Here is a 15,798-nt window from a genome sequence, read left to right as displayed (position 1 = left end):
AATTAAATGAGCTAATGCATTAGCAGTCATACTAAATGCTAGCTAAATTTTGGTATTATATATAGATATTCATCCATTTAAGCTTCACAACAATCTCCACTTTTTTAAATAAGAAAATAAAAATTTAGAGAGGTTAAATCAGTGGTTCCTAGGTGCTGACCTGACCACATGCAAATGCACATGGAGAGCATGTGAGAAACCAGGGTCTCTGCAGAGGATGATTCCCTGAGTGAGCCTGGCACAGGCCCCAGTAATGCAGGTTTGTCATGCCTGCAGCATCCCAGGTGATTTGGAAGTGGGAAGCCCTGCTGAGTTAGGTGTTTTGGCAAAGGCCCCCCTGCCGGTAGGGACAGAGGTAGGATTTGAATGTTGAGGCAGGACCCTAAATCACCATTATTTACTACGAAGAGCATGCCCCTGGTGGGCCTGCCCTGACCTGCTCTCTGCCACTCCCTAGGGCTGGAGGATTCTGGCCTGGCTCACTCTCTGAGGAGAAGGGCTGGGTGGAGCTCTCTTGAGCAGGGTCACTCAAGCAACCATTTGCAGGCCACCCTGTCCCCATCATGGGTTCCTTTTCCAAAAGCCACCTGAGCCGAGACAGTGGGTACTCATCAGCCCTTGTGGATTGTGGAATGCCTCACCAATGGTCAGAAGCACGTCTCCCCTGGTGGCTCCCCACAGTCGTCCTCCCAGGGCCCATCTCCACCCTCTGGTGCCACTGGGCATGCGGAGAGCCTCTGGCAAGCTGCAGGAGCTGCCAAAGCATTTGGTTATTTTGCTCATTTTATTAATAAATGTGCACCTATGCCAACCACATGGCGACTGCCGCCTAGGAACAAGAGTCGGAACATGCTCTGGGGAGATTTCTGGCTGGATTTTGGTGACAAAGGAAACAGACAGGGATCTATGGGGAGAAGGGAGTCAGGCAGCTGACAGACATTTGCGGGCTTGCAAGGACCTCTGCAGTTTGTGAAGGCCTTTTTGGGAAAAGGAGAGTTGGGTGGAACTGTATGGAAGGGGCTTGGGGCCCTGACCCTTCAGCCAGAGGGACTGTAAACCGCATGGAGCTTGGACACATAGCTTGGCCTGACTGCAGGCAGCTGGACACATCTTTCTCCCAGGGTCTGTTGGCTCGTGGGTTCCTGGTGAGGGCGGAGCTGATGGCAACAGTGCCGTACCTGCAAAGGACTTTGAAAACCCCAAAGCAAAGAGAAAGACCTTCCACCAGAGGGGCTGCTGGCCCAATGCCACGCTCCATGGAGGGAGTTGGCCATCACATGTGCGGTGCTGGGTCTGGGGGCTGTACACACAAAGCTGGCATTATTGGCACCTTTCCGGGATGCTGTACAGAGAAATACCCAGGAGTGACGTGACCCATAAGGACAGGTTGGATGAGTGGGCCTTTGTGTAGAAGAAGCCAGCAGGCAAACCTCATAGGGAGCAAGCCCCAGGCCTCCAGGGCTCCAGACCCCTGTGCAGGCACCAGAATGGACTCCTCCTCCAGCCAGGAAGTGTGTTCTATTCTATTACTGGCCAGAGAATAAATAATCTGAAAGCCTCGCCAGGATCTGCCGTTTACCCTTTAAGGGAATGAACTTCTGTTCATTTGTAAAGGGGGGAAAAAAAAGCCTTCCCAGATGAAAGTCTGGGCTGAGGGAAGAGTGAGCTAGGCAGATGGCATGGATGCCAGCAGGAAGCCCTTACAGCCAGCAGGCCGGGCCCAGGGGCCCTGGCATCCCGCTGGACAGTCAGTGCCTCCCACAGCAGCCCCGGTCCTGGGCTCCTCAAATCTTAGCTCGGGCCTCTCTACTTAGTTTGCTCATGCCCTTAAAACAGCAAAAAATGTCAATCACACATACTCAATCTAGTAATTCATTTATAAATAATAATCATGCATGACTATACCAACATGAACATTGTCAAACATGCACAAAAATACAAATTTAAAAAATAAAACCAAGATAAAATATTTTAAAATTCCTTAATTACTATGGATGATTTCTTTTTTACCACTATTACCTTTATTAACAAAGCAAAAATATACAGTATAGCTAGGTTCATTAGTAATAATAGTGGATATAAATTCTTATTTCAAATTGTCTTCTCATTCATAGTATAAATCTGGGGGCCACCTTCTTGTGGGATCCAACTGGATTGTCACCGTTTTTCCTTCCTCTGTTGGCCAGAGTGGCACCATCAGGAGTGACGTGTCCACGCCACGCCATGCTTTTGATCATCCAACATTTGAGTTAGGTTCAGCATTTTTCACTTTTTTCTTTGTTCCTCCTTTGTCTGGCTTCTTTCTAAGTCATGTATCCATTTGATAAATCTATGAATCTGCATAACTGGTCTCAAATGAGTAGAAAAATTCTTCTAAATGCCAACAGCGAGAGTGAGGGCAGAGTGGCTGGCCTTTCTGTGTGGTCCAGCTCCCATTCTTTCCTCTAGTGACATTTCATATAAAGACCTAATATGGACATCAGCGTCAATCTATAAATACTAGTAATGCTGAATTCTTTTCTCTTTTTTGGATGAAATAGAAATAGAAATAAAAAAATTAATATTCCTTTCTCCTTAAATAAGTCCCTTAAACACCTCCTGCAGTGCCTGCGTGCCCCCGACTTTGGAGACCCTTGTGTCTCTAGAACTCCTCACTGTCCCTCTCCCTTCCAATCCAATCCAACTGCAAACAGAAACCAGCATTAGCTTAGGAAATTGTGAACCTGACCAAATCACTGCCCTTCACTTGCTCCCCATGGCTCATGATAGGTCTTGGGGAAAAGTAAAACTTCTTACCAGCTCTGGCCCCCGCCGCTCCTTCAGCATCACTCGTGGCCCCCCATATGACACATGGCAGGTTCCCTTTCTCATCCTTCAGGTCCCAGCTCCAAGGTCACCCTTCAGAGAAGCTTGGATCGGCCCCTCATCTAAAGAATATTACTCTCCCCCCAGTGACTGTCTCAGGGCTTCCTTTATAACTTTTAAAGTGCCCATCACATGTTGTCACTATGTAAATCTGCTCATGGACTCTGACTACTGTCTCCCCAACTAGGCAATGTGCTTGGAGTTCATCAGAGAGGATCCATGTCTGCTGTTTTCATTGCTATATGCCCAGAGACCAGCATGGTCCCGGGATATTGTAGGTGCTCAATAAATGCATGAATAATGAGATGAACGAATCAGGTCTGAGAGGATCTACAAATGTTTCCTTGGACTGGGCTTGTCACAGCTGGAAGCTGCTAGTTATGGGGAAACTCCCACCTCCCTGGCCTCAGCCCTCCCCAGCCTCCCTCCTCATACCAGGGAGCTGGAAGCCCAGCTTCAAGGAACTCAGAGAAAGCCTGAAGTAGTTTTCCAGGAGTGGAAGAGGCTATTGAGAAAGTGGTGTCCACTTTCTGCCTAGAGGGCTGAGAACTTGGAGTGTCAGGAGGGCCAGGGTCATTCCTAAAGACACCCAGCAAGTCAGGGCACGAGCACTGCCCGGAACGCAGGTGAAGGGCAGAGTCAGGGACACTCTTGGCTAAGTGGACTGAGGAATCTTGAGACATGAGTGGTTGTTGCGATTGGTGGATTCTGTCCCTGGGCTGGGCCTCTGAGAGGGCAGGGGCTGAGGCCCAACTTCTCCCCTTTGGCTACCAAACCTTGTGCAAGACCTCCCCATAGCCTGGCCAGGGAGGCACAGAGGCAGCTCAAAGTCTTTTCCCAGGCAAGAGGCCTAGTAAATGTTGGATCAGTGATTCACACCTGGGTCTCTCCCCAAAAGGGGACGCCCTTGCTCTCCCCCTCCCACATTCCCCTCAAAGCTTCTCCCTTGAGGCCCTTTTGGTTCAGGCCCAGCAGCTGTGAGGCCCTTTGCAGAGCTGATCACCCCGCGATTATCTCCAAAGCTGAGGAGCAGGTGTCTGCAGGCGTGGCTCAGCTCCTACCTCTGAAAGAAAAGGAAATCCGACCCTCTGGGAAACCTTGGAGAGAAAGCAGAAAAAATATCCCCTTTCAAGAGAAGAACTGAAAGGGACCCTTGTTTTACCAGATTCCTTGACAGCCTCTCTGGAGTGAAGCTCTTTTTAATATATTTTTAAAGAAAAATGAAGCTCAGGAGAATGGCTGGGGGAAGCAGCTGTGCGGAACATTTCTAATAGTCTTTCCGTTTGACTCTCAGGTACTGATTCTCTATCATGAAGGCATTGGCCTCAACAATCCCAAGTGGACGGTGCAGGGGTCTCGCATTCTGGTTGCTTAGGTTCGGAAGATGGGTTGGAAGACTTCCTGCAGGAGGTGGGGACTTGCATTGAGGTTTGAAGACTCTGCAGCAGCTAAAGTGGGAGAGCATTTCAGGCCAGAGGAAGAGGGTGGTAGAGACACAGAGGTGGGGAGGCCTGGCCAGGCCTCAGGAGAGGGAGGCAGAGTGGAGGGGAGGGAGGAGGGAAAGGAGGACTGTCAGGAGGGAAGCTGGAGGAGGGACAGGAGGAGCCTCAAATAGGGCATCAGGATGTCTAGGTTCCACTCCCGGCTCTGCCACTGACTTGCGGCGTGATGTGGAGCGAGGGATCTGTGCCTTCCCAGGCCTCAGTTTTCCCATCAGAAAAACTGGTGGGAGGCCAGGTGCTGTGGCTCATGCCTGTAATCCCAGGATTTTGGGAGGCCGAGGCAGGCAGATCATCTGAAGTCAGGAGTTTGAGACCAGCTTAGCCAACATGGTGAAACCCCGTCTCTACTAAAAATATAAAAATTAGCCAGGAGTGGTGGTGGGCACCTGTAATCCCAGCTACTCAGGAGGCTGAGGAAGGAGAATCGCTTGAACCCAGGAGGCGGAGGTTGCAGTGAGCCGAGATCACACCACTACCACACTCCAGCCTGGGCGTCAGAATGAGACTCCATCTCAAAAAAAAAAAAAAAAAGAAAAGAAAAGAAAAAGAGGTTGGGAGTGAGTGATGCCTAGGCTTTCCTTGGGCCTAAAGCTCTGCCGGCCCCTGCCCTCCCACACCAGGTATCCCCACTTCCCTTCTGGCTCCAGTGGAGGCTGCAGGTGCCAGGCAGCTTCCCAGCCTTCCCCCAGCAGCCTGCTGTGGGGACCTGCTAATCCCCCTTAAACTCACTTCTTCCTGGCTGCTGTCACCAAGGGTGCCTTTTGAGGGCTTTCTCACTCAGGAAGAGAGATCTCTGTGACTTATCCAGCGGGAGGGGGGAGGCCCGGCCTATGTCGCCCCCTCACCCACCAGCACCAGCGGCCCTCAGGCCATCTGTTCTTCAGGCTGGGGCCCAACAGAGAGGCCATTCAGTACTGGGCGGTCTGTGTCTGCCCCCCTTCCCCAGCCCAGGCCTGAGCAGATGGCCCACCTGAGTCTCCGGAGCCTTGGGGCCCAGCAGGAAGCTGGGGCGGTGGGGTCCACCCTCCTCTTAGAGAAGTTGTCAGCACCAGACTTCAAGTCCTGGCCCTGCCTCACAGGGCCTCTGTCCTGGGTTGCCCTCTCCACCTCCCACTGGCCAGCCAGCCCCAGCCCAGGCCATTCAGAGAGGTACCACGAAGGCTGCACCTGCAGATGCCACCCAGGTCAGTCCCCTGATTTCATGCAGGAGGCATCAGCCATTTGCCAGAGGTGGCAGCCCATTGGAGGAACCCGAATCTCTGGCTCCTGGTGAGTTCTCTCTGTGATGAGCATCAGATCACTTGAGTAGGGGAGAGAGGAGTGGCTACAAATGCAGATCTCTCAGCTCAAACCCCATGGATTTGGACCCCGGAGGTCTGGAGAGGGGCCTGTGAATCTGCATTTGTAATAAACTTTACAACTGAGTCCCTGAAGTTCTCCTGGGCACTCCCATCCGGCTGTCTCTGTTCATTTCTAGCCTGAATGACAATTAAAGGTCAGTGACATAGGTGGAGCAATAGTAACTATACCCATTTAATAGGTGAGGAAATCAAGGCCCCAAAATGCATACAGTTTCATAAAGTAAATTTGATGCTGTAAATTCATACCAGAGCTAGGCACGGTACCCAGTACTTCAGGCTCCTTAGTTAATGGCTTTTGGACACCAGTCCCCTGGGGAGATCAGGGATGGCCCTTAAACATGCCCCTCCATTCTGCCCCTGCACAGCTACAATATTTAAAGGCCCTAAGTCCTGAAAAGACTATGGTGTCTCCCCTCATCCCCAATGAATTCTAAACAAAAATAACACTAAACTGTAACTGTAAGGAAATCCCATGATGACAACAGTACTTTAATACATTTTTGTAAATAAAATTGTTTAAAAACATTTTTCCTTATCTTATGGGTGGCCCTGCTTCTGTGGTGCCCAATGCAATATCCTGGCTTCCTAGGAGATAGCTCCTTGTCTGCAATGCTCATTCCAGTGTGGAGTCTGGGTGAGGGGCAGGTTGGTCCCTCCCACCCCTGGACATTGTTCCACCTCCTTTAATCCCACCTGGTTTCCTCCCCGTGGAACTGGAATGCACTCACCAGGAGAGCCTAGCATTTCAAAGATGTGCCCTGGCAAGGCAGGCTCTTATTGATGGGGATTTTAAATGTATGCCTCCTGTCTCCTTGACAATCTGGCTTCCATTCCTGTGGGAGCTTCTTCCAGGGAAAGCCCAGGCTCCCTCCCCTCTAGGGAAGGGGCCCCTTTCCAACCCTCCTTAGAGAGGACAGAGACTAGAGGGAAGGGCAGCCCACCCACGGGTGCAGGCCAGAAGCCCCTCTCTCTGCTTAGACCCCTCCATGTTAGATCATGTTGGAGAATAGAGAAGCCAGGAGGGGCTGCAGGGCCAAGAAAGCCCTGCTATGTGTCCCTGAATAAGCCATTGAACCTCTGTGAACTTTACTAAGATATAACAGGACCTATATTCTAATCCTACCTTATAGGATTATTCCAAGAATGAAAGACAATGGTGCACATGCGCATAAGGCATTAGCACAGCGCTGGGCTCACGGTGAGCATTCCACACACTGTACTTACTGTTCCTATGAGCTAGGCTGGTATCATAAGAAAGAGCACTGGAGGCCAGGTGCGGTGGCTGACGCCTGTAATCCCAGCACTTTGGGAGGCCGAGGCGGGCAGATCAGGAGGTCAGGAGTTTGAGACCAGCCTGGCCAACATGGTGAAACCCCGTCTCTACTAAAAATACAAAAATTAGCTGGGTGTGGTGGTGGGCACCTGTAATCCCAGCTACTCGAGAGGCTGAGGCAGGAGAATCACTTGAACCCAGGAGGCAGAGACTGCAGTGAGCTGAGATCATGCCACTGCACTCCAGCCTGGGCAGCAGAGCAAGATTCCGTCTAAAAAAAGAAAGAAAGAAAGAAAGAGCACTGGAGCAGGAGTCAAGGCACCTGCTTTCTAATGTGGGCTCTGCCACTAATTTGGGCTCTGCCACTAATGACTTTGAGCAGTTCCTGAAGCCCTTCAGGCCTCAGTTTCTTCATCTGTAAAATGAGAGCATAGGGCAAGATGAGGTGTCTAGTCTCTTCCAGAGCTGACTTTCCATCACTCCATCACTTCCCATAGCTCTCATTCACCCATTCATCCTTCCCAGCTCAGTTAAACACCACAATCTCTAGAAACCTTTCCCAGAGACCCTCGAAGCTGTGAGTCTCTCAGCACCTGCCAGGCACCACATTTCTCCCATGGGTCCTGTGGTAGAAGAATGTGTCCCGTGGTGATTCCCAAGCCAACTGTGTGGACCACCTTAACCTCTGATTCCCAGCCCCAGGGAAAATCAGGAGATTAACAATCAGTTCCTTTGGGCTGATAATATTCCTTCCATTTTACAGATGGAGACACTGAGGTCCTGGATATTTAAAAAAACAAAAACAAAAACCCATATGACACTCTCAGGGAGCCTGGGAGTCCCAGAGCTTCAGTCCGATTTTCTGCAGTGACTCAGGGCTTAGACAATCATTACAGCAGCGATTACTCCTTAAATTGGTTATTTTTCACTGTTGAAGCTGTTGTGTGGGCCTTTTTTTTTTTTTTTTTTTTTCAGTTTGGATTCACCAGGCTGGGGGAGGGAGAGATTGAATGTGAGGCAAAGCAGAAGGAAGAGAAAGAAAAAGGGGAGGCGGGAAAGCCGGGCAGCAGAGAAAGGCCCAGGAGTCTTTGGGATTTCTCACCATGGGGTGGGGGAGGGGGAGGCTGCCCCGGACCCCTGGGGAGGCAGGAGAGAGGGAAGTAGGAGTGGGGGCAGGGAGACGACAGCAGGTGGTGGGGCATAGTTCCGAGGTTAGCTGCAGCCATGGGCAGTTCTAATCAGCTTCTTAGACTCCTGGGATCAGTGCCTGGGCTAAGGGTGCTGTGTGTGAGGTTGGGGGTGGGACCTTACCACCTCCACTCTCACAGTCTACCCCCAACCATCTCCCCTCCACCTTTTCTCTTCCCACACTGTTCAGATACCTGCCGTGTGCTTGGCACTGTGCTAGGCACAAAGGCATAGCAGGAAACGAGATACAGCCCTGCCCTTGAGTAGCTCACAGCCAGCCCTGGGAACCTGGAACCCAGCCGTCAAATTCACTACAGGGATTGGAGGGAGCTACTGGGGTCAGCTTGCGGGGGTCTATGGGGACCGAGGGATGTGGCCCAACTTCGGCATGAGGCTTGGGGGATGGGCGAATGGGGGAGAGTGGGTAGGGAAAAGCTGCCAGAGGAAACTTTGTTTGTTTTTTGTTTTTTGAGATGGAGTCTCGCTCTGTCGCCCAGACTGGAGTGCAATGGCAAGATCTTGGCTCACTGCAACCTCTGCCTCCCAGGTTCAAGTGATTCTCTCATCTCTGCCTCTCCAGTAGTTGGGACTACAGGCATGTGCCACCATGCCTGGCTAATTTTTGTATTTTTAGTATAGATGGGGTTTCACCATGTTGGTCAGGCTGGTCCAACTCCTGACCTCAAGTGATCCACCCGCCTTGGCCTCCCAAAGTGCTGGGATTACAGGCATGAGCCACCGCGCCTGGCCCGGAAACATTTTAGCTGAGATAAGAGAAGCATGGTGAAGAGCTGGCAGATGAAGACTGGGGTGTGATGGGTAAGAAAGGTCAAGCCGAAGGAACAGCAGGGACAAAGGCAAGGTCCTAACCCGGGACAGAGCCCGGAACAAGAGGGGAGCTAGGAGTAGCAACTGCTCAGATGTCTGTCTCTTGCACTAGATTATGAGCTTCTCTGATTCATAACTGGGGTTGCATTCATCACTCGTTTTGTGGATGTATCTATGTCTGTACGCATGCATTCATTCCTTCATTTGTTTTAGCTGGAATAATCTAAAGCTTATTATGAATCTTGCAGGATGAAGCTGTAGATCTATGATGGCCTGTCCCCTTAGGCTGCCAAGTCCTGCTGCACAGGCTGTGCACTGCACCACTCCATCTGCCATAGGTGTAGCACCCTGCAGCCTTGCTCTACATGGTCATTGATAAGTAGTAATTATTCTCTCCCTCTCTGCATATATAATCCCCATTTTCTGTTGTGTACACTGAGAGAAGGGAGGAGTCCTGCTCGAGTTCTCATGGCCTGGGGGAGACCCACAGGAACTCTCCCTATCTCAGTATCCCCACTGACACTTACTTTCTCAGTAGGCCTAGATAGTTGATCTGAGAGCTTCCGGGTCAGATGCCCTTCCTCACTCCAGGACCATGGAACTGCCAGGCAGAGTGGGCTTCTGTTTACTGCCTTGGGCTGAAAACACATATCAGCGATTGGCAAAACACAGGGAAGTTGCAGCTCAACCTGTTAGACTGGCAAATGTATGCTATGCCCTTCTCTTACTGTAAGGATATAAAACAATCACTTATTTATACTCAGGAACCAGAACACTTGGGTCCTCCTGCCTCCCCCTGCTCAGCCCCACCCTGAACAGAGGGGCTCCCAGAATGCCCTGGGGCCTGTGGCAATGGGGGAGAGAATGGAAGGGGAAAAGGAGAGCTGCCCTGGGACCTTTACGGTGGAGGGCAGAAACATTATTAAGTACCTGCTGCATGCTGACCCTTAACTGTTTTTCTTCTAATTATCAAAATAGTCCTGTGAAAGGGAGTCAGAAACCCAGGGGACAGAAGGAGCACGGTTTGAATCCAGGCTGTGTCTCTTATCAGCTGGAGACTTGGGAGAGTTGCTTATCTTTTTTTTTTTTTTTTTTTGAGAGTTACTTATCTATAAAATGGAGATAATAACAGCAACTACCTCCACAGGGCCAGTGTGCAGAGTTCACGAAGCCACCCACTGCAGGTGCTTGGCACAGTGCCCAGCATATAGTAAGTGTTCAGTAAACACTAACTAGCATCATGAGATTCGGGGTTGCTGTGAGCCCTGTTGTACAATGGAGAAACAGAGGCCCAGGGAGGCTACAGAAGTTGCCAGAGGCCACACACTTAGGAGTTGGCATAGCCAGAGGTGAGTGTGTGGAGTTTTGAAGGGAAGGTCTGAAGACTGTCACTAAGCATTAAATCCGCCTGAGGCTTCAAACCTTCACTTTAAATTCACCCAGTGCTGTGTGCCCAGCCTTGCACTGAGGGGTGAGATGGAGTGGCTGAGTGAAGAAGATGTGTTAGGCTCCTTGGAGCCACCATCCCAGAGCACGTGGCCTGATGGGGACAGACAGAAGATAGTAGTTCCCATGAAGCAGTGTGGCAGATGCTGTCACCAGCTGCTCCCAGAGCTGGAAGAGGTAGCCTCCAAGGCTTCCTAGGATGTGTGGGGGGTGTGAGTGGGGGTCGGGGAGGGCTGGGAAGGACTTCTCAGAGATGCCTGGTAGAGGGCTCAGCGTTTGCAAAGGCCAGGAGGGTTGAAGTACCACAGCATCTGGAGAAACTGTGGCAAAAACCGATCCGTGGTGGTTATAAAGACCCCTTGTGGCATCCAAGGGAAAAAAATGTGGGCTTCGAAGCTGACAAATTTGGGGATTCAAAACCCTGGTACATGAAGCCAGCCCTTTCTGGGCTTCAGTTCTCCATTTTAAAAATGGACTACCTCACAGAGGTTGCCCACAGAAGTCGCGCAAAAAGTTGGTCATTTCTCTCTCTCCCCCATCCCAGGGTGAGAGTGGGGCAAGGATGGGCGGTGGTGAGTGGCGGAGGGGAGGCCCTGGGTCAGCCCTGGGGTCCTCTGGGTCTGCAGATCTGCCTCCGGGGTCAATTCTCCCGGGTGGGCGGAGGTCTGCGCCCTGCCAAACCGGTGTTAACCCGCCCCTTGACCGCTGACCGGTGCGTGGGAGGAGGAGAGCACCAGGTGAAGGGCTGATGACTCTCCAGCAAGTGTTCCCTCCATCCGCCGCCGGCTCGGATCCCCAGAGACCCGGATCGCAGCTTCCCTGCTGGCCGAGCCCCCAGCACCCGCGGCGCGCCCCAGCCCTCTGCTCCTCCTCGGAGCAATTACATAACGACGCCTCTGGTGGGTGGCGGAGAGGCCTTCTTTGTTATTGCGATCCGCCTCGGCAGCGGCCCCGCTGTATTAATAAACCGATCACTCAAAACGCCAGCCTGGGCTTTATGTATGTAGATTTGGGTTGGGGCGCCTCCGAGGGAATTATCCACGCTGCCCGCTCCTCACCCAGGAGGGAAGGAGGTGGAATCCCTTCCCTCCCCTCCCCTCTGGTCTTTCACCCTGCCCTTCAGCTCAGAGTCCCTCGCCCACCCACCTTGCTCAGCAGCCCGGTCCCAGGAGGGCAAACAAGAATATTCCAGAATCAAAAAGTGTGGGTTCCAGGCCCATCTTCACTTCCCTGATGGGTGATAGCTGGCAAATGGAAACTCATTAGCCTTACCTGTAAAATGAGCCGAATAATAGCAAAGTGCCCATTTAAATTAGATAATCTAGGAATCTGCTTTGCAAATTCTAAAGCAATGGTTCTCAATCTTTGGCTTGTATCAGAATCACGTGGGGGGCTGTTGGACGACAGATTGTTGCCCCTGTGACTTCCTTTCCCAGAGTTTCAGTTGTCTGAGGTGGAAATGAGAATTTGTGTTTCTAACATTTTCCTGCCCCCAAGTAGGCTTTGAGACTCATACACTCTAAAGAGATTTATAAACTAGAATCTATTTGTCAGATGTTCCTGTCGGTCCGCAGGTGACTTACTGTCCCCAAACTGTATGGCTTCACTGGGGTGGGGGTGGTCCAGGAGTGGCAGGCCTTACAAGGGATCAGCAATGCCTGCCCTGGCCAGCGGCAGCACCAGAACCACCTGAGCTCTGGGCCAGACTGCCAGGGTTCCAGTCCCACCTCCCTGCTTTCTAGGGTGTGATCTTGGGTAAGTTATGTAACTCAGTGGGCCTCCGTTTTGCCATCTATAAAATGGGACTAGTAATGGTACCAACTTCGTGAGATTTGTTAGGATTAATGACATGTAAGATTCTAGACCAGCGTCTGGTACATAGTACGGGCTCAGAATGCTATTTTTTGAAATAATGATAAAGCCCCTGGGGTTTTATCATTGGACAGGAGGCAAGTGAAGCGGTGGCCATTGGCCTAGCCGGCTGCCCAGGGTCCAAGACTATGATCCCACAGCCCAGAGTGGCTGCTCTGGGCACTCACTGTGAAGAGGTCCTGGGGGTCGCCCAAGATGAGGGTCCAAAATCTGCTACTCACTTCCCTGCATAGCAATTCTTTTCTTGGCCAGGGCTCAGCACTCTGAAAATCTGGACCCAGCCTGAGGTTCTTAAGTCAGCTATGCTGACAAGGGGTACTCCATACTCCATCTGCCCTGAGTTTTGGAAGCCGTCCCTTCAGTACCAGCACAGAGCAACAGTGTCCCAGGCCTGCGATACAAGGTCCACAGACATCTCCCCGACTCTCCCAGCTGGTGGAGGGTGGATTTCTTGCAGATGGCCACATGCACACAGCTCACCGCCATTTCCACATGTCCATTCATTAATTGAGTCAATGAACATTCATTGAGAACTGACTGTGAGCTCCGGACTCACATGTACTATCTCACTTAACCCCCCAGGTACCCTATGCATCATCATGATTTTCTTCTTTCCATTTGGCAGATGAACACGCTGAGGCTCAGAGACACTGAGTTACTTGCCTAAGGCCACAGAGCCGGTTAGAAGAGGACTAGGACCTTGAACCTAAATCCAGGATGGTTCTAGTGGCTAAATCCCACTCTCATACTGCCTCCTTGAGCCCTCCCCCACAGGAAGCAGGAAAGGGCTGGCCATGGTCTTCTGGTCCCCTAGCTGTCATACACTTTCTTTGGGGAGATCTGAGCCTCATTTCTTCCACCCCCATCCTGATCAGTTCTCTCTCCCACAGATAAGAAACTGCTTGACATTTCCTGGTCCTGGTGTAGCAACAGAGGTGGTGGGGATGAGTCACTGGAGGGAAGCAGCTGGCAGTTGTGTGGGGTCGGGGAAGGAGGGCTGGTCAGTGCTCACTCTGGAGGGGTGGGGGCAGGAAGCACTGGGGAGGCCTGCCTGGGAGTTCCTGAGCTCCCAGCTGCTCCTTCCAGTCCCCAAAGCTATGTGTAACAGAGTTCTCCTCACCAGGCAGGTTCACAGAGAACGAAGCTCTGGAGGAAATGAGAGGAAACCAGGAAGGGGAACCAGAAGCAGTTGTGAAAGCCCAGCTCTCTGCCTCAGTCCTTGTGTTGTGGGATGGCGGCTCCTTCTCTCTGGGTTTTGTGCCAGCTTCAATGAACCCTGGCTAGACAACTCTCACCCCAGAGCTCCCTGTTCCAGTTGAGAATGCACCAGCACTCCTGAGGCCCTCTCCCTCCGCTCCTCCCAGGCTGCCGCATAATAACACCAGTGGCACTGATTGATAACTGTCGATGTGCCTGCCCCATGTTAAGGGCTTCACGTGCAGCCTCTCTGCTAAACCTCCAATAACTCCCACCAGGTAGGCCCTGTTATTATCACCATTTTACAGATGAGCAAACTGAGGCCTAGAGAAGTGAAATCACTGGCCCATGGTCCCATAACCAGGACTTGAACCCAGATCTGTCAGGTCCAAAATCCCTGGGCTCAACCACAACAGGTCTCTGACAACATCATGTTCCTCCACACGTGCCCATCAGTGCTGAAACCTTTCCCCTGGCCCCAACCCCAAAGACTAGGCCCAACCCCCGCTCCGCAGGCCTCTCTCCTGCAGTCCCAGGTGATAACAGTAGTCTCACTCCAAGCATCTTTGAAATCCAATTACATCCCCATTCTTCCTCGTCCATAGTGGTTTCTGGCTGCAGACACTGGCAATCCCTGTGCCCACCACACCTTCCTGCAGGGGCACAAACACAGACACACAGGCGCACTCTTAAGTGCTCACTCACACCTGGCCACCAAGGAGGTGTTGCTGCCCCTGCTTGTGGAGGGCGACCAGGGCAGATGGAGCCCCTGCTGCTCCCAGGTTCCTGTGGGAGTCTGGAGGAGTGACCCTCCCACCCCTGCAACAGCCGCTGGCTGCTTCCTGGCTCCATCCCCAACCCCACTCCCATCCCCACCCCCCTGGGGCCTTGAGAGGAACACTTCACCAAGGTAAGAATCACAATAATAATGTCAATAATAGGAATCAGCATTTCCAGTTTGCAAACCTTTTTCATCGAATCACCTCACTTGACTCTCACAAGTTCTATGAGGCAGATATTTTTATATCCGTGCAGGCGAGGGTCGTATAGCTACTTAGGAGCAGAGCCAAGGTCCTAGCCGACTTATCTCACTCTCACCTAGAATAATGATGACTCCTCATTGTTACCGTGCACCAAGCATCTATTCTTGCCTGTCGTTAGGGGCACACTTAATGAATGTCAATGTTACTCCTCACAGCAGCCCAGTGAGGTGAGTTTTTTTTTTATGCCCAGTGTAAAGATCAGGTAACTCAGAAGAGTTGAGGGCAGAATGGCTGCCTAAGGGATGTTTCTGAACTGGACACATCACTTTAGAAAAGTATATAGGGGCCGGGCGCGGTGGCTCACGCCTGTAATCCCCGCACTTTGGGAGGCCGAGGCGGGCGGATCATGAGGTCAGGAGATCGAGACTATCCTGACTAACATGGTGAAACCCCGACTCTACTAAAAATACAAAAAATTAGCCGGGTGTGGTCGTGGGTGCCTGTAGTCCCAGCTACTCGGGAGGCTGAGGCAGGAGAATGGCATGGACCCAGGAGGCGGAGCTTGCAGTGAGCCGAGATCACGCCACTGCACTCCAGCCTGGGCGACAGAACGAGACTCCATCTCAAAATAAATAAATAAGTAAATAAATAAATGAAAAGTATATAGGGAGGAAGACAATAAGAGCCTCTAATGGGTGCTTTCTGGAGAGCGGATGCAGGGGGTTATGGATAGAGCCAGCTGCTTCTCCCCTGGTCCCCCTCCAAGCACTTTGCCTGTTATCTTGAGCGGTTACTGTTGCTGCTGTTGACTATCTGTGCAGTCATCTACAAGGGGGCTGTGAACTCTCCAAGGACAGGGACACTGTCCTGTTCACCCCTGGGGCCCCAGCACATAGCACCTTGCCTGGCATAAGGGTGAGGCACTGTCAGGATGGCCTCGTTCACAAAGGATGGTGGGGCAGCCTTGGCCCAGCCTGAGCTCCCAGCCTCCCCAGCTTCCCCGTTGATAAGGAGACTGAGAGAATACAGACACCCAGAGGGCAAAGGTTATCCACTCCAAATACCACTTAAGGTGGGAATTCTTCCTCTGCTGTCCTCATCAACCCTTCCCTGGATTCTGCTTGCATGCTGCTAGTGACAGGGCACTCATTCATGACAACTAAGGCAGCCTCTTCCATGTTGGAAAACTTGGAGTGATTGTGACAAAGGCCTCCCACTGATGTATGATCAGGCTGGCTGGGATTACAAGCACAGACCCTGCTGCTAGTCTTTAGGGTTACACC

The 15,798-nt window shown here is 51.7% G+C and overlaps 2 annotated features.

Moving 5' to 3' along the window:
* Positions 3,141-3,812: an enhancer, noted in NCBI's record as "H3K4me1 hESC enhancer chr11:44986317-44986988 (GRCh37/hg19 assembly coordinates)". NCBI's record gives its function as "activates a minimal SCP1, AML or CMV promoter by ChIP-STARR-seq in naive H9 embryonic stem cells {active_cell/tissue: H9 hESC(naive)}" and the evidence as "EXISTENCE:reporter gene assay evidence [ECO:0000049][PMID:30033119]".
* Positions 3,813-4,485: an enhancer, noted in NCBI's record as "H3K27ac-H3K4me1 hESC enhancer chr11:44985644-44986316 (GRCh37/hg19 assembly coordinates)". NCBI's record gives its function as "activates a minimal SCP1, AML or CMV promoter by ChIP-STARR-seq in primed H9 embryonic stem cells {active_cell/tissue: H9 hESC(primed)}" and the evidence as "EXISTENCE:reporter gene assay evidence [ECO:0000049][PMID:30033119]".

Source organism: Homo sapiens, chromosome 11, assembly GCF_000001405.40.
Source record: "Homo sapiens chromosome 11, GRCh38.p14 Primary Assembly".
Taxonomy (NCBI): domain Eukaryota; kingdom Metazoa; phylum Chordata; class Mammalia; order Primates; family Hominidae; genus Homo; species Homo sapiens.
This window is presented reverse-complemented; position numbering and strand designations above follow the sequence as displayed.